Source organism: Homo sapiens, chromosome 1, assembly GCF_000001405.40.
Source record: "Homo sapiens chromosome 1, GRCh38.p14 Primary Assembly".
NCBI lineage: Eukaryota > Metazoa > Chordata > Mammalia > Primates > Hominidae > Homo > Homo sapiens.
The window spans coordinates 205,335,582-205,361,750 of NC_000001.11; the positions used below are offsets into that span (position 1 = coordinate 205,335,582).

The 26,169-nt window shown below is 49.8% G+C and overlaps 1 protein-coding gene and 1 pseudogene across 5 annotated transcripts, besides 3 other annotated features; one reads left to right on the forward strand and one right to left on the reverse strand.

Annotated features, from left to right (window-relative positions):
* Positions 1-479: 479 nt before the first annotated feature.
* KLHDC8A (kelch domain containing 8A) lies at positions 480-21,458 on the reverse strand. Of its 5 annotated transcripts, NM_001271863.2 has the most exons (9): positions 21,407-21,458; positions 20,952-20,988; positions 12,795-13,009; positions 8,553-8,877; positions 7,648-8,212; positions 4,063-4,227; positions 3,613-3,828; positions 2,914-3,015; positions 480-2,011 (listed from the first exon to the last, which is right to left on the reverse strand). In NM_001271863.2, the coding sequence occupies exons 5-9, from the start codon at positions 8,021-8,023 to the stop codon at positions 1,818-1,820; spliced, it is 1,053 nt and encodes a 350-aa protein (NP_001258792.1). In that variant the 5' UTR covers positions 8,024-8,212; positions 8,553-8,877; positions 12,795-13,009; positions 20,952-20,988; positions 21,407-21,458; the 3' UTR covers positions 480-1,817. The 5 variants fall into 5 exon arrangements, with proteins under 5 accessions (NP_001258792.1, XP_024303889.1, NP_001258794.1 ...); XM_024448121.2 differs by lacking the exon at positions 12,795-13,009; NM_001271865.2 differs by lacking the exon at positions 8,553-8,877.
* Positions 4,349-4,398: a silencer, noted in NCBI's record as "silent region_1737". NCBI's record gives its function as "represses an Ori minimal core promoter by ATAC-STARR-seq in GM12878 lymphoblastoid cells {active_cell/tissue: GM12878}" and the evidence as "EXISTENCE:reporter gene assay evidence [ECO:0000049][PMID:35858748]".
* Positions 7,696-8,256: an enhancer, noted in NCBI's record as "H3K27ac-H3K4me1 hESC enhancer chr1:205312405-205312965 (GRCh37/hg19 assembly coordinates)". NCBI's record gives its function as "activates a minimal SCP1, AML or CMV promoter by ChIP-STARR-seq in naive H9 embryonic stem cells {active_cell/tissue: H9 hESC(naive)}" and the evidence as "EXISTENCE:reporter gene assay evidence [ECO:0000049][PMID:30033119]".
* Positions 14,931-15,838: an enhancer, noted in NCBI's record as "H3K27ac-H3K4me1 hESC enhancer chr1:205319640-205320547 (GRCh37/hg19 assembly coordinates)". NCBI's record gives its function as "activates a minimal SCP1, AML or CMV promoter by ChIP-STARR-seq in naive H9 embryonic stem cells {active_cell/tissue: H9 hESC(naive)}" and the evidence as "EXISTENCE:reporter gene assay evidence [ECO:0000049][PMID:30033119]".
* Positions 15,640-16,026, forward strand: SNRPGP10 (small nuclear ribonucleoprotein polypeptide G pseudogene 10; annotated as a pseudogene).
* Positions 21,459-26,169: the final 4,711 nt, after the last annotated feature.

The following is a 26,169-nucleotide window of genomic DNA, read 5'->3' on the forward strand; positions in this document are numbered from 1 at the left end:
CTTTCTTGGGTAGGGGATTGAGGAGACAGGATGCCTTTGGAAGAGCATCCCCTAATGCACAGTTCCATCATCCCTTATAGTATCTGCAGCTCCTCCAGCTCCTGTTTCTATCTGTTACTTCAGGGGCTGAACTCAAATATAGGGATCCAGAAGCAGCAGGGGAGGCCTCTCTGCAGTCTCCTCACTAGGGGGCAGCAGCGGCTACGGGAGGCCTCCCAGCCCTGGGAGGGGGAAGGGAAATGCTGGGCCAGCAGGTGGCAGTGCCCTTCTTGGACCCAAGTAAGGAAAAAGTCCAAGTACCCAGAGAAAGGGAGGGGAAAAAAATCCGTATCCTGTAAAGACCCAGGTTCCACTTGTCCTTGAAGATCCCGCTGAAGGTGTCACACTCCCTCCCTCCAGGAGGCTCCCTGGACCCCTCAGATCCAGATAGGTGATCCTCCTCCATTCCTGCCTCCTGGAGAAAGAATTACACTATCACCTGATGAGTGATACCTGACTCCTCCAGAACCCTTCAGGGCAGGCATTTTATTCATCATTTATTTTAAAAATAACTGGGAGTCAGAAACAGATGCTAAGAGGAGGCACATTCTTCAAGTTTTCTAAAAGAACCCTTTCTACTTTGGATAGGACAAAAATGAGCTTTGGCTGAATGAACTGAGACTAGACATAAGAAGGACTGAGCTGCTGATGAGTTATGAATGGAAGACTAACACGCAGTCTCAAGGCAGGAGAAGAAGAACATGTGCTGTTTTCCTGGGAGTGGGGCAACTGGTGGTGGCTGTGAGAAGGCAGAGCTCTTCAGAGGGGACAGCCAAGAACAGGTAGTCACTGGGGGCCCTATTTAGCCTGAGAATGCAGGAGGGATTGTTTTATGGGGTCCTCCCTGCCCCTCAAGACACCCTTCCGCCCCATCCCCACACCAGGGTGCTAGAGAAGATAGGAATATAGATTTTAATCATTGTGCTGCTGCTATTAACCAGAGTGCAATTAATCCATCTTTTGTGGATTTTGATGCCACAGTGTAAATGAGAGGGTTTCACACAGAAACACTCTGGGGGCCTTCGGTGACAAAAGGGCTAGGCCTCTGGTGGGGAGGGGGTGGCAAAAGGTGAAGTGGAATTAGGAGAGATGTGGGGAGCAGACCCAGGGCTGGGAGACTGCTCCTTCCCCATCACACATGCCCATCAAGGACCCCAAGAGGAAGGGATTCTTCCTGCCATGGCCTGGGCTGTCCAAGTGAGCCTGACTTCCCTTCCAAGGCAGCTGCCTCTAGCTTCATGTCCAATTCTCGCTGAGTAGATGAGGTCCAGGGTAGGCCCACAGTTGACCACCAAATGGTGAAGAGATATAAGCCAAGGGAGAAGAAAGTGGTTTGGAACCCCCAATCATTCTCCATTTTTCATCCTAAGCTACCTTAAAACTAGTTCAGAGCTGGGGAAAGACAGCAACAGCAGTCTATCCTCTCGGTCAGAACTGCTCTACCTGCCTCCTGGAGATGGGGGTGGGGGGAGGTGGGACTCACAGGAGGGAGAGGTAGGAAATATTCCTGTGCCTTTCTTTGCCTGTGCAGTAAGTGAAGACTCTCTTCAGAGTCAGCTCTGCAGCTGGTGGAGTCATCTGTGCCTCTTACAGTTTTCTGAGATTGGTAGGATTTGGAGCTATAGAGAGGTCAACTTAGAGCCCCAAGGCCAGACTCCACTGGTTGCTAACAGGAGCTGACATTCTTGGAAGTAGCCCCGACTGCTTGGACAAGATCATTCCTCATGTTAAGAGTGAAGTGATATGGTCCAGGGCAAAGGTACTGAGCCCAGAGACAGCTAGGAGTCAGAGACACACAGGGCCTCCACTGCGTCACTCAGACCCTGGTTGACACCTCCCACGGCGAGGAGGCAGTTCTTGACGACTATGCTGGAGCAGGCACAGCGGGGTGTGGGCATGGCAGGGAGGATCTCCCATTTGTTCTTCCCTGGGTGGAATGCTTCCGCCGTCTCCAGGACAGTGGGTTGATTCCCTGAAAGTGTCAAGGGAATCAGACCTTACAAAGGAGTCCAACCACCAATCCATGCCCCACGGTCACCCCACCTCCCTCCCTTCGGCACCCACAAGCAGAAGCCAAGCAAGGTCAACTTCCTTGGCTACAGGATTACTCCCTTTACTAAGCCAGTGGCTTTTGTCAAGCAGCCACTTTGTCCCTCCTACCGTCTTCCTGTCTCTTTAAGAGTAAGCTTTCTTTCCCTACCCATTGCTTTTTACCAGAGCTTTCTAGCACACTACTGCCTCACTGCTGCCCTTTCCTAAAAAAGCTACTGACATGGTCTAGTTGACACGGTTCCTTCATGCCTGAGTAAAGTGGGAGTTTGTCCACACTAAGTAGACTTGGGGTACCTGGAAGCCCTGCTGCCTGGATCTCTCTTCCTTGATGATGGGGAACTTCTCGCTTTAGAGTCCCTCCTTCAAAATACTAGTAATCTCTGGCAGAGTTAATACATCAAACCCAAGATTCATCTGTTGAACTTATTTAATCAGATTGCTTTCCTGTTCCACGATTGGGCTGGAACAGGATAAGAGACTGGTCAGAGGAGGACCAAGGCTAATCCCCTCCACAGTTTGTCTCCAGTCATTCCCGTTTAGGGATCTGTGCTCAGTAAGCCTGTGCTGCACGGCTACGGGTGTCCCTTATTCTCTCTGCGTCACAGTTTCCCTGTGTAGGAGGACAGAAAGGCCACACCTGGGGCCCACAGTGGATAGGTAATATCTAGGCTGGAAGAAAGGGAGTGCTTCGAATTTTTTGGAGTATAGTGGTAGGCAGGTGGTCTGCAGGGAGTCAGTACCCTTTCCTGCATATGCAAAGTGCCAAGGATCCACTGAGCACCAGAACCACAATAAATTCCAGCGTGAAAGCGCCATCCTTACCAAGTCCCCCAGCCACTATGACCCGTCCACTCAGAGAGCCAGCCACAAAATCTGCCCGCCGCTTCTTGAGGAAGAACGATCGTTCCATCTTCAGCCATCCCCCTATAGGCCATGGATAATGGTGGGTTATATAGACAGAATAAGATACAGACCACTCCCACCAAATGCAGATTGTGGCCCAAATAGCTTTCACCCTGGGCAGTGTCTTCACTCTATTTATCCTTTATGCTTGGGGAGTACACAGTTCCTCCTGCTGTTTCAAATTCTCTGTGGCTTCCCCCTCTCCCATGCTTGCTGCTCTGTAAGGCATCATCATCCCCTACAATGAATCACCTTGACTTCTGGTTAGGAGGCTAATAGAGGCAGTGAGGGAGGAGTCAGGATCCTTCTGTTTCTCCATCAGTAAAAAGTAAGAAAAATCCCTCTCTGACCTGGTCCTGTGTGAATATTGTAAGAAAAGACAATATAGGTAGAAAAGGGGCTTTGATAAAAACCAACCAAGCAAAAAGGGGACCTATACCAATGAAGGAATTTGATTCCAAGAGTAGCCCTGAGTGGAGAGGGGTGCTGAGACTTCTGAGAAGCTTGCCCAGCTGGGTAAACGGCCCTGGAAGATGGCTGGAATAGGGGTAAGGGATGGGGAGCCAGCCAGAAGGGCAGTGGGCAGCCAGAGCTTCCTGGGGAAGGTGACCAGCTCACCCTGTTCCATGTCGAACACGTCCATCGTCCGCAGGAACTTGGGCTGCCGGTAGAGGCGACCTTGCCGCAGGCCTCCTAGGCTGTACAAGTGGTTGTCCAGGGTCACAAAGCTGGAGAAGGCCCGCTTATAGGGAATGTTGGGAAACTTGGTCCAGGAGCGAGTCTCGATGTCAAAGACCTCGAAAGCGTTGACCGCGTACTTGGACTGTCGTCCCCCTGGGGGCCAGAGCAGGATAGAGGTTGGGCAGAAGGGTTGTCCCTGAGGACAGCGACAGTGAAAAGGGTTTCCCCTTTTGACAGTTACTCATTCATACAGGAAGCTCCCGGTGGGCTGGGCAGTGTGATTATCCCCAGTGCCGAGGAGATGCTCAGCACACAGGCACTGCTTCCTATGGGAACTGAGCCAAGGGAAGGAAGGAGGGTAGGTATAGAACAGTAACCTGTCCTTACCCAGCACGTAGATCTTGGAGCCTCGGAGGAAGGAGGTGGCAGCATATCTCGGGGTGGGCATGGGTGCTAGGGACACCCACATGTCCTTCAGCATGTCATAGTGTTGGAGGTGGTTGTGTGGACGTAGGTCCAGGCCCATCCCGCCTGCCGCATATACTCGGTAATCTAAGAAGAAAGGCCATACATGCCCCTGGCTTAGCTCACAGGTACAGCAAGACAGGCCCACCAGCATCTATTGCCTCCCATGGCCAGGCCAAGCTTTCAACCACTGCTCAGCCAGAGTGAGTCATATCTGTATCAGTGTGGTTGATAGCACCATTCAAAGAAGTTCCTGCTATAGCTAAGCCTGAGAGTCTGTTTCTTTTTTTTTATTTTTATTATTATTATTTTTTTAGATATGGTCTCATTCTGTCATCCAGGCTGGAGTGTGGCATAATCATGGTTCACTGCAACCTTGACCTCCTGGGCTCAAGAGATCTTCCCATCTCAGCCTCCCAAGTAGCTGGGACTACAGGTCCATGCCACCACACCTGACTAATTTTTGTATTTTTTGTAGAGACAGGGTTTTGTCATGTTGCCCAGGCTGGTCTCGAACTCCGGGGCTCAAGCAATCCTCTTGCCTCGACCTTCCAAAGTGCTGGGATTGCAGGTGTGAGCGACTGTGCCCAGCTGCCTGGGTCTTTTGAAGCCATGGTACGACTACACGCCCTAGTCTTCCTTAGTGTCCAGCCCTTTGGCTAAGCCTGAAACACTGCGTGAAGTTTAGGCCTGGAAAACCCTTTGCAGGTCTTATCCCCTTCACTGTCCTCCCTGGGCAGCCAGAGGGGAAGCCAAAGAGGAGAGGTATTCTTTTTTTTTTGAGACAGAGTCTTGTTTTGTTGCCCAGGCTGGAGTGCAATGGTGTGATCTCAGCTCACTGCAACCTCTGCCTCTCGGGTTCAAGCGATTCTCCTGCCTCAGCCTCCAGAGTAGCTGGGATTACAGATGCCTGCCACCACACCTGGTATTTTTAGTAGAGACGGGGTTTCACCGTGTTGGCCAGGCTGGTCTCAAACTCCTGACCTCAGGTGATCCACCTGCCTTGGCCTCCCAAAGTGTTGAGAATACAGGCATGAGCCACCACGCCTGGCTTCAATGAGTAGAGATATTCTTCTGATGCCCTTTCCCCAGGCATTCACAAACTGGCATTTTTAGATATGGCAGGGGCCTTTAGAAATAAGATGAGTCATGCTGTCACTGGCCTATGGGACACTGGACTGCTGCTGGTTCTGTGTCTGCCAGCCCCATTGGGGAATGCCATCTTCCTTCACAAATTGGGAAACTTGTGGGATCCAGGAGTCACTTCAACTAAATGAGATAGGGCTAGGGGTGAATGAGGGTGAAGCTTTGGAGAGAGTACTGGTCCCTTTAAGAAACCCTGCCCAGGAAGTGAGCTGGGATACTTTGAGAAGTGAGTCTCCTCTCATTCTCTACTACTCTTGACTGTAGGTGGCCTTTCAAAGGACTTCACTACACCAGAGAGGATGGGCAAGGCATCTGTGTTTCCCTGGGTCCCACCCCAGGACCTCCCAGGCCTCTCTTTCTCAGGGAGCCACCCCTGCCCGGGATTCTGTCTGCCAGCAGCCAGTCCTCAATGCTTCTGGCTCCAGGAGGCCTTTATTCTTAAGGTGATTGTAGGGATGAGTACTATTTCCTCCTACTTTCCAATCTTATTGGAAAAAAAAAAAATGCCAACCCTAGCCTGAGGCTGGAAGACGGTGCCTGCTAATGAGGAATTCACCTTGCACAAGATCCACCCCTCCCATCCTGTGTTACTTGAAACTCCTCCTCCTGGGAATCCTCCCATCCACTCCTCACTACTGTTTTTGTGCCCAATTCTTACTCATCCTTTCAGACCCATCTGGGCGTCCCTGAACTACAAGCCTGGGTCGACAGCACCGGCTCAGTGCCTTCTGTTACCCTATTCCATCACCCTAATTGCCACCTGTTACTGAATAATCTTTGTTTCTTTTTCTTTTTTTTTTTGATACGGAGTCTTGCTCTGTCACCCAGGCTGGAGTGCAGTGGCGCGATCTCGGCTCACTGCAAGCTCTGCCTCCCAGGTTCACGCCATTCTCCTGCCTCAGCCTCCCGAGTAGCTGGGACTACAGGCGCCCGCCACTGTGCCAGGCTAATTTTTTATATTTTTAGTAGAGACGGGTTTCACCATGTTAGCTGGGATGGTCTTGATCTCCTGACCTCATGATCCGCCCGCCTCAGCCTCCCAAAATGCTGGGATTACAGGCGTGAGCCACCGCGCCCGGCCAATCTTTGTTTCTTTCAATAGACTGTAGGCCGTTGAGAATTTGTTAAATCTACAGCCCCAGCATCTGGCACAATGCCTGGCACACAGGCATGTAAATGCTTATTAAACTAACTGCAGAACCCATTCAGTGCCATAGTAAGAGCACAGACTCAATCATCACTATCTGTGTCACCTTGGGCCAGTGTTTTAACTAACTCTTTGGGCCTTACACTGCTTCTCTCTAAAATCAGAGTAATACTAGCACTTACCTGTATACAAAGCACAAATGGTAAGGATTCAATGAATGTTAGTTCTTAATCTTTCAAGACCATTTACTGAGGCCTGGGATGAAGATGTGCTCTTTCCCTCCCTTGCTCTCCGTGGGCCTCCAGGCCTTCCATCCTTCTTACTGGGAGGTCACAGAAGCCCCACTGGCCATGCTGCCCTGGGGGATTCTGCACTAGAGTTTCTCTCTAGTTACTTTCATTGGTCAGATCCAGGCTCCTGAAGGCAGGGAACAGATCTTCCGCCTCTTTCCTTCCCTCCTGGAGCCTGGCACTGTGCTGGGGACAGAGCAGGTGCTCAAGAAATACTGGTTCCCAATCTATAGTAGACTTGACATGCAGCTAGTATGGTTTAGCAAAAGAGGGAGGGAGGAAGAGGAGACGGAGGGAAGGTTGCATCCCACTGCAAGCCTGTGCTGCTCAGGTGTGTCTGAACTTGGTGTCTCCTAATTCCCATTGAACCATCTCCCACAAAACCCTTTGTGTTTTAGCAAAAGAGCTTTCGGAGCTCTAGGTTCTGGGCTGTACTAGGCGTGAAAAGAATGAAATGGGGGCTTTGAGAAAGGAAAATGAGAATCACAAAACCATGTAGTGAGGACATGCATGCCCTGAGGACTTAGTGAAACGCGGCCAGACATGAACCCTCAGGAACATTCTGGTCTCCACTGAGCGTCTCTGAGATTGGGAGGCAGAGGGGCAGGTTGAAGGTGGAAGAGGCCCCTGGAATCAGGTCCCAAAGCCCTCTCAGTGGGGCCTGGTGACGCTACAAGGATGGAGTGAGCATTGTCAGGACCCCAAATAGGTGTCTGGGGGTGGTGGCACCTGCAAGGCAAGGCAGGTTTCAGGGGCTGGGGTGTGGCGGCGGGAGGTGCAGGCATTTTGCTGAACGCATGGGGTCTGCAGAAATATGGCACTAAACTCCACAGCCCACAGCAAATGCCTGTTGGTTTCCATCTGTTTCCCTCCTGGCCCCCCACTTCCTTCTCTCTGGCCGCCCTCAGCCCTGGCCCCACTTGCCTTTGGCCGTGACAGAAATGCCCATGGCGGCCTCACGCAGCATGCTCCTCTTCTTCCACTTGCCCTCATCGATGTTGTACATCTCCACGACCTTCAGGGGCAGCTGATTGGTGCCCACGCCCCCAATCACCATGATCCGCTTCCCCAGGGCGGTGACGGCCACCCCCGCCCGGGCTGTGGGCAGCCGGGGCAAGGCGGTCCACTGGTCGGCCTCCGGGGAGTAGACCTCGAAGCAGTCCATGGGGACGCCGTTGTCGTCACATCCCCCGATGGCATAGACCTGGCCCCCGGTCTCCAGCAGGGAGCAGTAGACCCGGCGGCTGGGCAGTGGCGCCAGGCGCTTCCACTGGAAGTCCTTGACGTTAGGCACCTCCATGGCAGCCTTGGGGAGCGCCCGGGCGCCGGGAGAGGTGCGAGCGCGGGGGTCCACCGGCTACTTGGCGCCGGCTCCCACGGCCCCTATCGCCACCTCCATCTGGCTCCCGAGCGCCGGACCCAGCCAGACCCCGGCCAGTGCTTCACCGTGCCCCGAGTCTCAGCGGTCCGGCGGCGTCCACGCCTGGCCCTGCGGGGGGAACGCGGTGAATCAAGGGCAGCTGGGGCCACGCGCCCTCCGGCGGGCAGCGGATGGGCTCCGCAGCCCCTGGTCAACTTCACTGGGAAGACGCGGCGGCGGAGGGCGCCCCCCGGGGGCAGCACCACACCCTGCACTGCTTGGTCCCCGCCCCCTCCCCACCCGCTGCTCGGACACTGCCGAAGCAAGCCGCAGGCCGGGGCTTTCAGGGGTTCGGGGTGCCGGGCAGTCCCCGGGCGGAGGAAGGAGTTAGCGTCTCTCGGCGTCGACGCCTCTCTTTCCCCGCGCCCCCTCCCCGCAGTCTCGGCGCCCCCGCCCCCGCATCACTTACGCTGCCAGGCCCGGGGAGCGCGGCGGCGAGGCGCAGACGACGCATCACTGGGGAGCCCGGAGCCCCCGCCCCGCTGCACGGGAGCCGGGGAGAGGGCGCTCTGTCCTTCCCCAGTCCGCGCGCCGCTGTCACACATGCAGATGAGGAGATGAAGTGAACAGCAGGAAGGAGAAGCGGAGCCGCCGCCGGGGAGGAGGCCGGCGAGCCTGCTCCGCTCCGTCCCCATCCGCAGCCACCACACCTGTGCAGGAATCCGCGTGCGTCCCGGGACACAGCGTGCTGTGACCTCTGTACAGAAGCCCCGCCGCGGAAGCGCTCACCTTGTCTACAGGGGGTCAAGGAAAGCAGGGCACTAGAACCAAGCACCCAGATGACGGGCACAGACGCCCTCCGGTGTGGGGGCGGGCTTTTGTGTTTGTTTTGGATGAAGAGGCGGAGAGTCCAATTACCCAGTTTATCTACAGTACACAGACTCAGCTCGTGACCTGCTAACTCAATAGCCAGCTTTGCTGGGGGGAGGTATTATCATATAGTTTAACCTCATGAAAACAACTTATGTGGGTGTGATGCACGCAGACCTGGCACAGGTACTTTCAAATATAACATATACACCCACTTGCACATGGAAGCATAACTTACACATCACCCTGCCGCCGCCCTCGAAATAGACACATCCACAGAGACACTGACCAGTGATGCACAGACAGACATGTGGACACAGCCAGAGACACCAACATAGACAAACACACACGGGAAGTTTTTCCATCTGCCACACACATGCACAACCCACCACCGCCACCATCACCCTTCACGAGCTTCAGGAAGGGGAAACCTGATGATCAAATCTCCGTCCTCGGCACCAACTCGCAGGGCTTGACAAACAATCCTTGCAAGCCACTCTCTAATACCGTTTATAGGACAGTAGTCCCCAGTAACAAAGGTGCCCATGAGGCCAGAGAACCAACCACCTGGTCTGGTGGACTGCAAGGCCGATGGGATCTTCCTCCTACCTGGTTCTTTCAAATGTAGCCAAGTCTTGAAACACGCAGGCTTGGGAGGCTGGAAGACCTGGGTTTGAATCTTGCCTCTGAAAATTACTTAACTACTCTGAACCTCAGTTTCTTATACAGATAGATAGATCTATGTCTATATATTTTTAAACTAGAGTTTTAATTTTGAGAAAATTTTAGATTCACATGCAGCTGTAAGAAAAAATACCCTTTACCCAGTTTCTCCCAATGGCAACATCTTACAAAACTATAGCACAGTATATATCACAACCAGGGTTTTGAAATTGATCGGTAAAGATACAATATAATTCTGGCCGGGTGCGGTGGCTCATACTTGTAATCCAGGCACTTTGGGAGTCCCAAGCAGGCAGATCACTTGAGGTCAGGAGTTCCAGACCAGCCTGGCCAACATGGTGAAGCCCCATCTCTACTAAGAATGCAAAAAAAATTAGCCAGGCATGGTGGCATGCACCTGTAGTCCCAAATACTCGGGAGGCTGAGGCAGGAGGTTCACCTGAGCCTGGGAGGCGGAGATTGCAGTGAGCTGAGATTGCGCCACTGCACTCCAGCCTGGGTGACAGAGCAAGACTCTGTCTCAAAAACAAAACAAAACAGAACAAACCTTCCACCCCCAAAAGTATAAAATCGAGGCCGGATTTGGTGGCTCATGCCTGTAATCCCAGCACTTTGGATGGCCGAGGTACGTGGATCACCTGAGGTCAGGAATTCGAGACCAGCCTGGCCAACATGGTGAAATCTCATCACTACTAAAAATGCAAAATTAGCTGGGTGCCGTGATGCATGCCTGTAATCCCAACTACTCAGAAGGCAGAGGCAGGAGAATCACTTGAACGCGGGAAGCGGAGGTTTCAGCAAGCTGAGATTGCACCATTGCACTCCATCCAACGGGCCCATCTTACTACTTTGAGTTCTTGGCTTAAAAATTCCACTGTTTTTTAGTTCGAATTCTCTGTACTTACAAAGTAAGCACCTCTAGAACCTTCACAGAGGAAGTCTGTGTCTGTTTTCCCTATTCAATCAGAACTCATAAATTCCAAAAGCATGGGGTGTGAATTCATGAAATTTCACGGAAACACCAAACATTTCCCTTTCTTCCTAGGAGTCTCTATCTGCCTGGAGAAATAGGGAACGCACCTTTACCTCAGCTTGAACTGTCTTCACAAAATCAGAACAGGTGATCGGGAAGATTTAAAGCCATAGACCTTCCTTAAAAGCGCTTGTTGGAGTCCATCCTTAGCTTCTCTTACCCACTGAGCCTTCTACCAAAGCAGTGAGGCCAGGCCTCTTAAATGAGCCTTCACCACCCCAGCTGGGGCAGCTTAATAAGCAGATAGACAGAGCTCCACTCTGTATGTTTTATTTGTGTCACTTGTTGAGATCATCTAAGCCCTTGCACGTCCATTTTCTTGTAATCTTAAAACAGCCCTGGGAGGGGTTCAGGGGTAGGTATCAATATCCACTTTTTGCAGTTGAGGAATCTGAGCCTTAATGAGATGAAGTGACTTACTTAGGACCATGCAGGCCGTTCAGAGTGGGTCCAAGGTATGAATTCCAAATCCAGTGCTCCTTTACTTTATCACAATTAAATCACAAATTAAAGAATTGTGCCTTATGAAGGAAACCAAGTGGGTCCACTCTCCACCTGGCTTCTGGTCTTTATTCCACTGCAGTGAAGAAAGGAGCCCAGGCCACCAAGGAGATTCCAGCGGCTGCCCATACTGTTTGTGCCAGGCAGTGCAGGTAAGGAAGTGCTGGAATCCAGCCCCAGAATAGGCCCCCATTCTAAACTAAGGCTCATATCCTACAGGCACCATCTTCTATGCAGACCGTGAGATCTAGGGACTCAGACCCTTGGAAAAGTACTAACAACAGGATGTCTTCCAGACCATGACCTAATTGCTTGTTCTGGAAGTCCTGGCTTCTCTCCATCTCCCCCATCTCTCTTCCTCTCCGCCAGGTAACATCCTTTAGCGCTTACACTGAGTGCACATCGAGGAAGCTTGTAACCTAGCAACTGCCACTTAAGATTCCCTGAGTCATCTGTAGTTTCCATTGCCTGGGTTGAGTGCACCAAGATGGGGCCTTAAGGAGTGCTAATCGGAGGGAGAGTGTCCAGTGACTCCTTGGTCCCTCCCTACCCTATTCTAGTGTGTAACCATTTTCCTGGTCAGAAAGTTCTTCCTCATGTCAAATCTAAATCCTTCTTGCTCTAAAATCTTGCGTAACATTAAGCCGGTGTTTCTCTTTTGCCTTAAAAAGCATTTGAGTTTTTACGCTGGATGTGGTGGCTTGTGCCTGTCATCCCAGCACTTTGGGAGGCCGAGGCAGGTGATTACATGAGTCCAGGAGTTCGAGACTAGCCTCAAAAACATAGTGAGACCCTGTCTCTGCAAAAAATAAACAAAAATTATCTGAGCTTCGTGGCACATAATCCTAGCTACTAGGGAGGCTGAGGTGGGAGGATCACTTGAGCCCAGGGGGTAGAGGCTTCAGTGAAACAAGATCGTGCCACTGCACTCCAGCCCAGGTGACACAGCAAGACCCTGTCTCTCTAAAAAAAAAGTGTTTCATTTTTCCCCTTCATTACAAGGTAGGAGTGGGAGGTTGGGGAATTAAGGGAGGGAAAAGTCATAAAAGCCTCTAAAGATTACATCTTTGGTGCTGTGGAGTCTTTATTATAGATATTGGTGCATCAATCAAACTTGAGGATGCTCAGCCCCAGAAAAAAGTCACTCAGTACGTTTTGGGTTTTGTTTCTTTTTAAAAAGATGGGGTCTTGCTATATTGCCCAAGCTGGATTTGAACTCCTGAGGTCAAGTCATCTTCTTGCCTCAGCCTCCTGAGTAGCAGGGATTACAGGCATGCACCACCTTGACAGGCTCAGTAAGTCTTGGATTTGTTAAGGTCTAATTTACATACAATGAAATGCACAGTTTTACTCAGTCTCTATTGTCTGGTAGGCATTCAGCAGGATCCTGCCTTCACTAAACTGCGGTACCTTAGGGGGAAGTTGGGGGTGTTGTGGGGAACAGTTTCTTCCCAATAAACCAAGCAGATTCTCAGTGTGGCAGGCCATGGATGGAGTAACTGTGGGAAGGGTTTCAACGTCTGCTGGAATTCCAAGTGTAGGGAACATTTCAGGGGGATAGGAGGGAAGAGGAGTTGTTTAGTGATTAGCTGCTCCTTATCCCTCCCCAGAAATACTCTTTACCGGAGTGCCCTCTGCAGGGTACCACGCTGGCTGGAGGCACACACCAGGAACTCCCCGAGGCCAGGATCACCTTCTTTATGCAGTTTTCTTTCTGCAGCACCCCACAGACCATGTGGTCAGCATCAGACAGGCTGCATCTGAATCCTGGTGCAGCCACCTCCTAGCTGTGTGATTATGCACCAGTCACTTATGTCCTTGAATCTGAGTGTCCTCATCTGTGAAAAAGGGAATAAGCAAATCTACTTTCTAGAGTTGTAGGAGGAAGGAGATGCCAGGCATAGTTCCTGGGCACGTGGTAAGTACCTCATAAAGACTAGTTTCTTTCTTCCCCTTGTGATGGCAAGTTTCTGTACCTCTGACTTTCAGGCTAGTGTGCCCCCCAAGAGCAGGTGCCAGTTTCACAAGATAGGCAGCCTTACCAGGGCCCATACCCTCCTGTAGCCAATCACTTCTGGGCCTGTGTCTTAGACAGGATATCTTTTCTCCTAGCTAGCTGAAATCTCATCTGCTGCAACCTAAATTGCATTCTAATCTGGAGAACAGCTGTGCCCTTCCTTTAGCTAATCACCTTCTCATTCCTAACCAGAAGCATGGTCCTTATTCAGGGAGTGGGGAGTGAGGCTGACTCATCCAATTAGGACTGAGGCTGCCAGCAGACCAAGGAAAGGGTAGTTCCTCCCCCAGCATAGAGAAGCCTCATTAGGGCCTCCTCCCCACCAGTCCCAACATCAGCCCAGAGGAAGGATTTAGAGCTCACGTGGACTTGATGGGAGATGGTATGACACAGTTGCCAGCAGTCAGAACCAGGATCTGTATGTGATCATGTGGCACTGCTGCCTTGCAGGTGGAGGGCTGGAGTCCCGCAGAATGGCCTCAGTTATTCAGGTTCCCTTCCTGACCACGCAGCCTTGATTGGACAGTTGAATCAGCCACATTCCTTCAGCTATCCTCCCTGCTCCCTCCCACTCCAGTGCATAGCTGGTGCCTGGAACCTAGAGGGCCTTAGTGGGTATCCATTAACGAATGCATCTGTTCATCTGTAAGCAACTTCCTGCCTACTTAGGTAAAACTGGGACATTGGAAAGTGGACCCCAGATATGGGATGATGGGTAAAGGGAGGGAGTCATCTTCGTTTTCAGACTCAGGAGTTGCACAATGTAGAGAAGGAAGGGTTGGGAAGCCACACGCTCCTCTGCTGTTTAGTGCGTGCGGGAAGGTATGCTTCTCAAAGACCTCAGCTACTTCCCTGTGCTTACTGAGGAAATCGTAAGAGGAAATGGGGCTTACAATAAAGCCTGAGGATTTGAGTTATAAACAAGGAAGAATTTCCTGACCAGCAATGTCAGAAACCTGAAACACCAGCATGAGGTGAGGTGAGAGGCCACGGAGCTGCCTCCTGTATTGCCGCCCGGGCCATACTAGAAAAACACAGGACAGTCAGAAGACCTCTGCTACGTCTTGTTACGATGAAGGCTATGACCTCCAGCCTACGTTTTGTTGTAACCGGGCTGTGCAACTATGGGCAAGTCATATCCATTCTGGTGCCTGTCAAATTAGAAGGAAGGAAGGTGAAGAAGAGAGCAGCTGGGGTCCCTCCCAGCTGGAGTATTCTGTACTCTTGGGGTGCTATACAGGCGGGGAGCCCTAGAGAAAGAAGCATTTAGCCATAGTGACAAAGCAGCAGATTCTAGAACGAACACCCTCACATTCTGCCAGGTGATACGATCGCAGAGGTCTGGCCCCACCAGCTCTCACAAGCGCTGCCAGCTACCCCAGGTCCAGTCACCAGTGAAGACTTTATCAGGGCTTCCCCTGGCTACCCTCTCTTGCTACCACCACCCTCCTTTCTCTCCAATCAGCCCAGGACAAGGGGGTGCCTTGTGACAGCTGCAGCTGTGGCGAATGGGCTGGCTCCCTATAGACCTTGGGCACCCACCTGCTTCCTGTTGGGTTCTGACCTTTCTGGGGTGCCTGCTGCCAGGAGAGTATGCAAGGGTGGCAGAGGATGCAAGAGCTCAGGTCATCCCGACATGGCTCTTTCTCTAAAAGTGAAAACGTGCCCATTTGTCCCAGGTCACCAGGCTGGGGCCCTTAGGGGGCCTAATCTTCACCCCTTCTCAAGTAGAGGACAGCAGAGCCTTTATGAGGGCAGCTCTGCAGAGGAGAAAAGGCTATAGGCTGGGGAAGGCTGCAGCAGACCACTCAGACACGGCTCTTTAAATGCCCATTAGTAAGTTAATATTGCCCCTTCCAAAGTCAGCAGCATCCTCCATTCTTCTTAATTAAAAAGAGCTCCACGTCCTGGCAGAGCTGAGAGACGGCTCTGAATGATTTACACACCAGCCCTGCTGCTTCCAGCTGGGAAATCAGCAAGGAAGATTGATTGGCAGATGGGCCAGCCTGCCTATCATGATGGCGTGCGTGCCTGTGTGTGCATGTGTGTGTGTGCATGCATGTGTGTGCGCGCACGCATGTGTGTGTGCATGTGTGTGTGTGTGCTGAGGCACTGGGAGCTGGCTCTCCTTCTGGCAGGCTCTAAATGAGCAGGGCCACAGACCCACAGTCCAGCCCCATGGGGCTCTGCAGGCCTAGAGGTAGAGGGCCTGCTAGAAACAGAAGGCTAAACAAAAGGCTGGCCTGCTCACCCTCACCGGAGTCCCTCTTCCTAGGAAAACTGCCTTATTTGGAAGACAAAAGCTCATTTGTTGTCTCATCCCCACCCAGGAGAGAAGGGTCCACTCCCCGAAGATTCCTCTTGTTTCCACATAGAGATTCCTCACCTGGTACATAGCATATATTGGGCTTTTATTTGATCATCACTGCTCACTTTAAGAGCAGGCTTTCGATCTGTGAGCCCGCGGAGTATACACCATGAGCAAAGCTCACCCTCCCGAGCTGAAAAAATTTATGGACAAGAAGTTATCATTGAAATTAAATGGTGGCAGACATGTCCAAGGAATATTGCGGGGATTTGATCCCTTTATGAACCTTGTGATAGATGAATGTGTGGAAATGGCGACTAGTGGACAACAGAACAATATTGGAATGGTGGTAATATGAGGAAATAGTATCATCATGTTAGAAGCCTTGGAATGAGTATAAATAATGGCTGGTCAGCAGAGAAACCCATGCTCTCTCTCCATAGGTCCTGTTTTACTATGATGTAAAAATTAGGTCATGTACATTTTCATATTAGACTTTTTGTTAAATAAACTTCTGTAATAGTCAAAAAAAAAAAAAAAAAAAAGAGGAGGCTTTCTTGGCTGGGCGTAGTGGCTCATGCCTGTAATCCTATCACTTTGGGAGGCTGAGGCGGGCGGATCACCTGAGGTCGGGAGTTTGAGACCAGCCTGATCAACATGGAGAAACCCCGTCTCTACTAAAAATACAAAAATTAGCCAGGGATGGTGGCGCATGCCTGTAATCCCAGCTACTTGGGAGGCTGAGGCAGGAGAATCACTTGAACCTGGGAGGTGGAGGTTGCGGTGAGCTGAGATGGTGCCATTGCACTCCAGCCTGGGCAACAAGGGCGAAACTCCGTCTCAAAAAAAAAAAAAGGAGGTTTTCTCATGGCCTGCCTCTCCTTCCTTGCCTCCCTCCTAACTCCAAATTTTGTCTGACTCTGACATCCAGGGGGATCCAAGGCTGTGGGCCCTTTATGGGGCTGGGAAGAGGATGATGAGGTTCACAGTTTAGGCTGTTTAGGCTGGCATGACACTCAGCCCGGGCCCTCCAGAGAGCCGGGAAGTGACAGCAGTCACCCTGAAAGGTCCCAGGCCTCTTTGCTTCTCCCAGCAGGCCTTGAGGCAGCCTTGTTGTCCATCCCATGCCTCTACTCACTTCTAAGAGCCCACCAGCCTCCCTGGGTGCCAGAGAGGGAGGTCCCGCTCACTCTCCAGATGGAAGGAGGTGCCAGGTCACTGGGGCAGGACCTGTACAGAGGTAGGGAGTGGCTTTTGCTCTCTCCTCACCTCTCCCCTTCTCCTCTGGCACTTTACATTACACACACACACACACATACACACACCCCTTGTTCCCAGAGAAAGGACCAGACAGAGGCACACTGGAGAGGAGGGGGTGGGGACTGGAGCCCAGGCATCATCCAGTGCTTTGCTTTCACCCCCGCTCCCTAGGGAGACGGCAATCTGCTGCAGCAGCAAGGTTGCCATCTGGCGTGCTGACCTGTGCTCTCTGTGCTGGAGACGGGAGAGGGCGGGGACGCGTGATGAGCTGGCTGCGAGTGTGTTGTGTATATGTGTGTCTAAGAAGCCATGAGAGTCTGGAAAGGTGAGAACCAGGCCAAGCTTTGGGTGAATCAAAGGATCTGCCTGTCCTCATCACTCGGCACTCCTGGGGCAGGTGGGTGTGTACCTGAGGATCTCTAAGGAGCCCCAGGAAGCCTGCATTTCTCTCCCAGTGAAGGAGGGAGTGGCAGGGCCTTGGCCCTTGAGCATCCTCCTGTAGCCTGTCGCCAGGAGAATGTGGCTGCCTGCTTAGCACCCAGGAGCTGCCAGTCCATCCCTGCACATCACTAGGCAAGAAACAGAGGGACAATTTTATTCACACCCAGACCTAACAGCTGCCCCCCACGAGGAACCACCACTAGGGATCCAGTGTGTCCTTTGTTCCTCTCTAGTCCTGGCCCAGAAAGGACTATTTTCTTCCTTGGATGCCATCTCCCTGCTTTGGTCCCAGTCTTGGGAATTATGTTCTGAGAGATTCCTTGATAAAAATCCTCCCTAAATCACAGGTTGTACCTCAGTGCAGGGGTCAGCAAGCTATGCCTGAGGGCCAACCCTGGCCTGCTGCCTGTTTCTGTATGGCCTGAAATCTAAGAACAATTTTTACATTTTTAAATGATTGGGGAAAAAAAATCAAAAGAAAAATATTTTGGGATACATGAAAGTGATATGAAATTCACATTTCAGCATCTATAAATAAAGTTATATTGGAACACAGCCACACTCACTCATTTACGTGTTGTCTATGGCGGCTTTCCCACTACAACAGCAGAATGGAGTAGTTGCAACAGAGAGCGCATGGCCCGCAAAGCATAAAATGTTTACTATCTGGCCCTTTACAGAAAATGCTTGTGCCCTCCCCTGCACCTTAGGCTGTTTTAAGGGAACAAGGGGAATGCCACCTTATTCTTTTTATTTTTTGTTTTCTTGTTTGTGTGATACAAGGTCTCACTCTGTCACCCAGGCTGGAGTGCAGTGGCACCATCGTGGCTCACTGCAGCCTCCCGGGCCCAATCAATCCTCCCGCCTCAGTCTCCTGAGTAGCTGGGACTATAGACACGCACCACTCCCAGCTTGCCACCTTATTCTTGACAACGTGCTTCACACCACCGTGGCAATGTTAAGTTGACACGGCAATATCTAGTGGCAATAAAAGGAAACAAACATTTTGAGGGCCCTTGTTGTATACCAGGGACATTTACTCTGTTTATCACATAATCTCTACAACAACCTTGAGAGAAACAAGCACTAAGAGGTCTATTTACATAAGGAAGGAATGGGAGAGATTAGGAAACTCACCAAAGCTATTAGAGTTAGGCAGAACAGGATGCTGGATTCAAACTCAGATCTGCCTAACCCCACAGCCCATATCCTCTTCAGGCCACCATGATTCTAAGATGACCACCAGCAGCCCAGCGAGGACCCACTCAAATGGCTGCTGGTTTGGGCTACCCCCATGAACAGGCAGGGCAATTGGGACTTAGGCTTTAGGGATCCAGGCCCCACCTCAGCTCGCTCCACCTCAGAGCCTGGTCCTGAGCATGGGCCACAGACAAGCCAACAATAGTGACAGCTCCACATCAGCGCCATCTCCCTTTTCTTGCCTCTTTCCTCAACCTTTGCTATCTATTTTCATCACCTTTTAGCTTTCTTTGGAAAGATTAAATTTGCATTTAAATAGAAAACCTCTTGAATGACTCTGATGTAACTTTAGGTACTAATTACAAATTCATTCCTCTTTAAATATTAAGGCACTTCAGTTCATCTCAGGGGTGATGGACAGCAGCAATGCTTGGTATTGATGTGTAATGAATATTGAGCTGTTTATTGCAAAGCGCTTACAATCCCTCACCAGCAGAGGGCAGACAGGAGATGTTCTCAAGACCTATATGGGAGATGTCTTGGGAGCCTAAAATCTGCTAAAAATAAATATCTGTAAGCAGTAATCCTTGAGAGAAATTGGAAGATGGCCAGTGGGATGGAAGCTGCTGGGGGTAGGGTGGGAGCACCCAGAAGTCCTCGGGTTGCCAGTTTCCTCAGTTGCTTATAAGTGTCTCAAGGCAGGTGCATTCATCACTCTTTCCCATCACCAAAACTAATGCCTGGCATTCAATGGGGACCCAAGGAATATTTACTGAATGAATGAGGGAATGAATGAATGAATGGATGAATAAGGCAATTAATCATGATGGGAGAGATCATTCATTCAACTACTATAATGAGTCAGGCATTGCACTTGATAATTTACGTAAGTCTCTTTGTTAAATGATTGATTCCTTTGGATATTTCCCAGGGTCATGAAGATGACGCACAAATTCTCCTTTCTCCTGAAGAATTGCACTTGGTATTTTACCTGCTGATTTCATAGGTGACAAAACAAACTCAGAGAGGTGAAGCAATTAGCCTCAGAGCACCCAGTTCAATCTGAAGCTCAGCCAGGACCCAAACGCTGGTCTCAGGCTCTGAGCCTGGCTCTCTATAAAGTGTATCACTCCCCCTCATCCTGGTGCTAGGCTGGTTATTCCAGTGTTCACAGTGTCACACCCTAATCTTGGCCCTTGTCCTCAAGATGCTGGGAGCCCAAAGTCCAGTCCAGCCTCTCAGCCAGGCTTAATGCCTGGGCTCCAGCCAAACCACTCTATTGCCTGATGCCCAATAGGCCTTTCATTTCCTGCCTCCATACTTGGCTTTGTGCTTTCTGCTTCACATGCTCCTTCCTGCTTGTTGACATTCTATTCATCCTTCAGGGCTTGGCCTGAATGCCGCCTCCTCCACGCCTTGCATGATCCCTGCAGGCAAGAGTCATTTTTCCCGTTTCTATAGAACTTCATCTATAACTATGTTAGCATGATAATAACCACCACTCATTATTCTAAACACCACACTACATTCTTTACATATTTTGTATAATTTGAACCTCATAAAAAGTCAATAATAACAATAATAATCATCTTTAACAAGTATATGGTGCTCAATATGCGTCATGAACTGATCAGAGTTTGGTGTGTGTGTGAGTTGTGTGTGTGTATAATTTAGCCTATAAAGTAGGTACTATTATTATTGTCATTGTACAAAGGTGAAAACTTAGACTTAGAGAGGTTAAATGACTTGCCCAAGGTCACACAGCCAGAACAGGGATGTGACATCTAGCTTGCCTGGCCCCGGAATCCCCATACCTGTCTATGTAGATATTCTTTCTTACCAGATGGTAAGCATCGGAAGGCAGGAACCATGTTATGTGCCATTGCTGTCAAAGCACTTTCCCTTCGGAGCCAAGCACAGCAATGTGTATGTACATAGTAGGTAGTCCATAAGTTTTAAAAATCTTAATTTTAGACCCAGGGGCATGTGCGCAGGTTTGTCACAAGGGTGTATTTCGTGTTGCTGTGGTTTGGGTTTCTATTGATCCCGTCACCTGTATAGTGAACACAGTAACCTAATAGGAAGTTTCTCAGCCCTTGTCCCCCTCCCCCCCTCCCTCCTTTTTGAGTTCCCAGTGTCTATTGTTCCCATCTTGATGTCCATCTGCATCCAGGGTTTACCTCCCACGTTTGTAAGTGAGAATATGCAATATTTGGTTTTCTGTTTGATATTCCATAAAGTTGAGCTGAATTCGGATCAGAAGCCAGAAGTTCTGGAGGTTGGCTGTATGTTGGTCAGTCTGTGCCCTGGACAGCAATCTTTGGAGTTAATTAGCTGGGTTAAAACCAGATGGGAAGGAACCTTTAACTTCAAAGCTAGAGAGGCCCAGCTGAGGAGAAAAGGCCCTTGGAGACCCTTGTCCCTCCTGACCCCCATGCCAGCCTGTCTACCTGGGCAGCCCTCCTCTCACAGACACCACTGCCTGTCTCCCCACCAGCAGGCCCTCAGAATGCCAAGGCATCACTCTGCATAGATGGATTGAAATAAAACTTACCTGACTGGAGGGAAAAGGATCGACACCCGGCGATCATCTGCAAAAGACAAAGAAGGGGAGGGGCCGGGAGAGGGTCGAGCGGGTGTTGGCTCTGAGGCTTGTCCTAGGAGCTGGCTGGGAATAGAGTCGGCAAGGTCCCCAGGGTCCCCAGGGCTTCCTCCACAATTGATGAGTCCACTGCTGCTGCCTCTGGCTGATCGACTGGGATGCAGCCAGGCCCCTATGCACAGGGCATGGGGCCAGCCCCGCCCTGAATGCACAGAAACTTGGGGTCCCTGAGTTCCAGGAGGCGTGACCCCCCTACTGAGAGGGCCTCAGCCAGCTCGTCAGAGCCCCAGTGTCTCCGCGCCTCTCCCTCCACCCAGTCTCAGCTGCAAAGGCCCGCTCTGCGAGGAGAGCGGGTGAGGGGGCGGACACGCTCACACACACAGACAATAACTGCCATGGAAACTAACCAACAAAAAGAAGATTTAGGGAGCCGGACTCCTCTGCCAGATGGGAGAGAATGGAGGGAAGAGAGAAAGGGGCTGTCCTTTGCAACGCTGCCAGTTATGCAAAGGGCAAATGTGCACCTCAGCCCTAATCCAACAATTGCAGATTTTTCCCTCCTCAGGGGTGGGGCTGTGGGTAAAAGGCAGAGAAGTGGGTTGACCTTTTTATATGAAGGTCCCAAACAGCCACCCCATACCTTTGCCTTTCTATGCACAGAGGAGGCATCAGTGTGGTCCAGCGTGGGTGCGAGATTCCCAAGGAAATGCTCAGCACCGCTGGCAAAGCGAAACTCGTTCCACAAAGCAACGTGTTTTACCAGGTCAAGCTGAACCTCAGGGGAATTTGATCACTTTACTTGGGCAGAAGGCTTGAAGGACTTTCTTAGATGAAAAGCCCACTGTTTAATGGGTAGCAAAACAAGGCTTTTCTTCAAGACCAACCTTTCTATCCATGATGTTAAATCTGACTGCCCGTAGTTTAAAGAAAGCCGGGGATGGAGTGGGGGCTAGCATCGATATGGCTTTCCTTCCGATGGCCTTTAGTTTTGTTTGGGGAGATTTTTCTCTCTGGGATAAAAGAAAATCTAATGAGGGAACTTAAAAAAAATTCTCTGGAGGTACTGTAAGGGAAATAAGGTAATCTGAGCACCAGAAATCCTGCTCTAACTCTTTAGCTGTGTGACCTTTGGCAAGTTTCTTCGTCTGTAAAATGGGACCAATGGGGTTGTAGAGAGGATTAAATGAGGTAATATGTGTAACGTGCTTAGAACAGTACCTGGCTCATAGTATTTGCCATTGTTATGGCTATTGTTGTTAATCTTTCTGATCCTCCCTTTCCTCAGCTATAAAATGGAGCCAGTGACACCAATCTCTCATGGATTAAGTGTGAGGATGAATCATGTCGTTATAACTGATGGAGTGGTGGTTATAAGGGTGTATACATTTGTCAAAAACCATCAAACTGTGGGTTTTATTGTGTGTAATTTATACCTCAACTTTTTAAAATATAGGTTTATATCACCAGGTAAAGCAGCCATGAGTGTCTAGAACATAGGAAATATTTATTCCCTTCTTCCTCCCTAGCCATCTTTTCAGGAAGAGAGGAAAGAGAAAGTGAATGTTAGAAGAAAGAAGTAAAATAGAGAATTGCTGGGTGCAGTAGCTCATGCCCATAATCCCAGCACTTTGGGAGGCCAAGGTAGGAGGATCATTTGAGACTAGTCTGGGCAACATGGCAAAACCCCACCTCTACAGGAAATACAAAACTTAGCCGGGTATGGTGGTGTTTACCTGTGGTCCCAGGTAGTTGGGAGGCTGAGGTGGGAGGATCATTTGAGCCTGAGGAAGTCGAGGCTGCAGTGAACTGAGATCATGCCACTGCATTCCAGTCTGGGTGACAGAGTAAGACCCTGTCTCAAAAAAAAAAAAAAAAAAAGTGAAAAGGAGCATTGCATAAGAAAGAGGCCATATTGATTTTGTAGGTAATGGGCTATCTGTTGAGACTCAGTTATTCTGGCTATTTCCTGAGTCTTGAATATCAATCTGTCACCTGCAAAGGCAATACCTGGGTAAATGAGTTGCCTTTCTTAACCCTCTCCTAATTTCATATCCTAGTATAAGAAAGTGAACTGCACTGCAGGGTGCTTCCTACTCCTGTTCTGGAAGCCTTTTCATCACTATTACTTCTCCACCACAACTATCCCTTTGTCTCCCAGATGCCCTGCTGGGCTGCACTTTGGTTCCTGAACAAGGTGGCCTGGGGACCATTGGCTGCAAGGTGTCACACCTAATGAAGTGTTGGCCAGGGCAGACTGCTGTCCATCAGAACAGCCCATGATGAACTGAGTTAGATATACCTGGAGGAGACTGCTACAACCTAATTAAAGAGGAATTGTGTGTGTATGTGTGTGTGTGTGTGAAGGGACTGGGAGGATGGAGAATAGTATGTAATTAAGAATCAAGTAAAAGTAATCCCTGGAGATAGACTACAGACCTCAAGCTGACAGCTTGCCTGAACCATAACTGCTTGGGTGATAGTGGAGATTGGAGTCATGCTGCCAAGTGGTCCCAAACCAAAGGGAAGCTTGCTGTTTGTCTCTGTTTGTTCTATGGGGTGAAGTCTATAAATAAATAAATAAGATATTTCACATCCGAGAACAATTTAAACTCAATTTGTAAATATCCATTCTAAGCAAATATGGATGGGCGATGGCTCTTCTATTTTGTTTGGGATTACAAGACTGAAAAAGAGGCAAATGTGGCCAGGCGCGGTGGCTCAAGCCTGTAATCCCAGCACTTTGGGAGGCCGAGGCGGGCAGATCACGAGGTCAGGAGATCGAGACCATCCTGGCTAACACAGTGAAACTCCGTCTCTACTAAAGATACAAAAAAAAAATTAGCTGGGCTTGGTGGCGGGCGCCTGTAGTCCCAGCTGCTTGGGAGGCTGAGGCAGGAGAATGGCGTGAACCCGGGAGGCAGAGCTTGCAGTGAGCCCAGATCGCGCCACTGCACTCCAGCCTGGGCAACAGAGTGAGACTCTGTCTCAAAAAAAAAAAAAAAAAAAAGAAAGAAAGAAAGAAAGAAAAAGAGGCAAATGCAAAGATGGTGATGAAGAGGCTTCAAAGATGAAATCCTTTCAGGATCATGGCTCTCATCCCTCCAGAAATGTTTATATCTAGGGACAGGGAAGAAAGGAGGATGAGTTCAGATTGTGATAACTAAGATAATCACTAAGATGATTGTAGCCCTACATTACAATTCTCAATGTCAAACCCTGGAGATGAAGAGGTCTAACATTTAGCCCAGAACCTTTCCAGTGATGAAAACAAACAACGACTCTTTTGGCATTGGTCTGATATTCAGTGACAGAATAAAGTTTGTTCCAGCCGAAATTAGCAGGCTAGGGTCCAGGTTAAAATGCAAACAAAGAAAGCAGCCCAGAGGCAGCTGGGATTCTGGGACACAGATAAGTCACAAAGCTGGGTTTATCTGCAGGGTTCAGGATTGATCAGCTCAGCGTATATTTCCAAGGCTCTTCTCTACTCAGCCACCCCTCCCAGCTCAAAAAACAAGAGGCCCACACCAAAATATAAAAAGGTGCTGGATCTAAAATCCTGCCTAATTTAAGCTCTGCTCACAAAGGAGGCCAGAGAGCAGAGGGAGGGGTGGAAATCAAATAAGTAAATGTCAGCCCTGCAGTTGGGTAGAAGCCATTAGCCAGGCAGAGCATCCAATTAGAAGCCATTGAATTAGAGCAGTGAAAGAAGGGCCTCACGTCAGAGGGCACTGCGGGGAGGGCCGGCACAAGTGGGCAGGAAGGAACGCGGGGTGGCGATCAATGGAGGATTACCGGAAGATGTGCAAATGGCAGGAACAGATGCCTTCCAAATGACAGGGCACCCGGTCCAGATACTCTACATAAAATGCCCACATGGTTCCTTTGTCCTCCCCCAAATCCTGTCTGAGGGAGTCCAGCCATCTCATGGGCTATTTTGGAAAACACTGCTCCCTTTTGCCTCAACCCAGAGATAAAATGGGCAGCTCTCAGCCACTCTCGGATTAATCTGAACAGACAAAGAAGGGGAGCAAATCCCTTGGCAAATGGTGCCTGGGAGATTTCATTTTTCCGCTTTGCAGTACAAACCTACTCAAACAGATACTAAAATACAAAGCGAAGTTTGTTCACATGGAGATGTTTTTATTTAAAACTATAATATTATTTTATTTTGTAATCAGTAATTGTCAATGCTCAATCTTTTTTTTTTTAACAAATTCTTATTTCCTTGTTCAGAGAAGAAAAAGATTCACATTTCCTTCCTTTCTCCTAAATTAGAAGATTTCAGATTCAGTCTCTTAGAAGCCACGTAATTTGCCTGTGATGCCCATGTCCCACTGATCCTAGAACTTTAGGGAGAAAAGTCCACTGTGAAAATAAAAATAGAAAGTAGTTCTGATTTAGGACAATCGAGTCTTACATATTCATTTAACAACCAGCTAATGGCACCTCCTGAGTACGCAGCATGAGCTGGCAGAGCACATTGGTCTGGTGCTCAGGAAGCTTCCAGGCTCAGGCAGGGTTAAGACACAAGGCTAGCCTCTGCAGAGTGGAAGGAAGCATGTGTTACGGGACACACAATGGGTCTGCTCTTTGCGCTTTGGGAGTGGAGAGGAAGAAGTAATCATAACTATCAGAGGATGCCAGAGAAGACCTTGTGGGAGAGAGGGTCTTTGAGCAGGGCCTTTGAAGAGGTGTCAGATTTGGGTCAAAATGAGTCGGGGGCATTCCAAGAAGATACAGTGCATCGATGTTGCAGACTGGAATGTGGTTGAGACTAACTGTAGGGCTACCAGATACAACAGAGGATGCCCAGTTAAATCTGAATATTTAGGATATCCCAAAAAACGATTTGTTGTTTAAAATTAAGATTTAAGTGAGTATCTTTTACCCACTGTCTATTTTTTACCCCGTCTATTATTCCTAGAAATTTCTCTTTGTTTTTGGTAGAGTTGGGATCTCACTTTGTTGCCCAGGCTGGTCTTGAACTCCTGGACTCGATTGAACCTCCCACCTCAGCCTTCCAAAGTGCTGGGATTACAAGCATGAGCCACCACGCCCGGCCCAACATTTTTATTTCCTGAATCTGGCAACCTCATGACAAGAGCAAATGACCACTCTCATACTTGGAGTTTCCTGCAGCCTGCCCAACTCCAAAGTTGCCTTGTGAGTT

What these genes read in the sequence shown, in the direction of transcription:
- KLHDC8A (NM_001271864.2), bottom strand. Translation starts at nt 8,023, where the DNA reads ATGGAGGTGCCTAACGTCAAGGACTTCCAGTGGAAGCGCCTGGCGCCA. An exon ending in CATTTCTGTCACGGCCAAAG is followed by an intron (nt 4,228 to 7,647) that starts GCAAGTGGGGCC and finishes CTTTCTTCTTAG; the next exon opens with ATTACCGAGTATATGCGGCA. An exon ending in CATAGTGGCTGGGGGACTTG is followed by an intron (nt 2,012 to 2,913) that starts GTAAGGATGGCG and finishes TGACACTTTCAG; the next exon opens with GGAATCAACCCACTGTCCTG.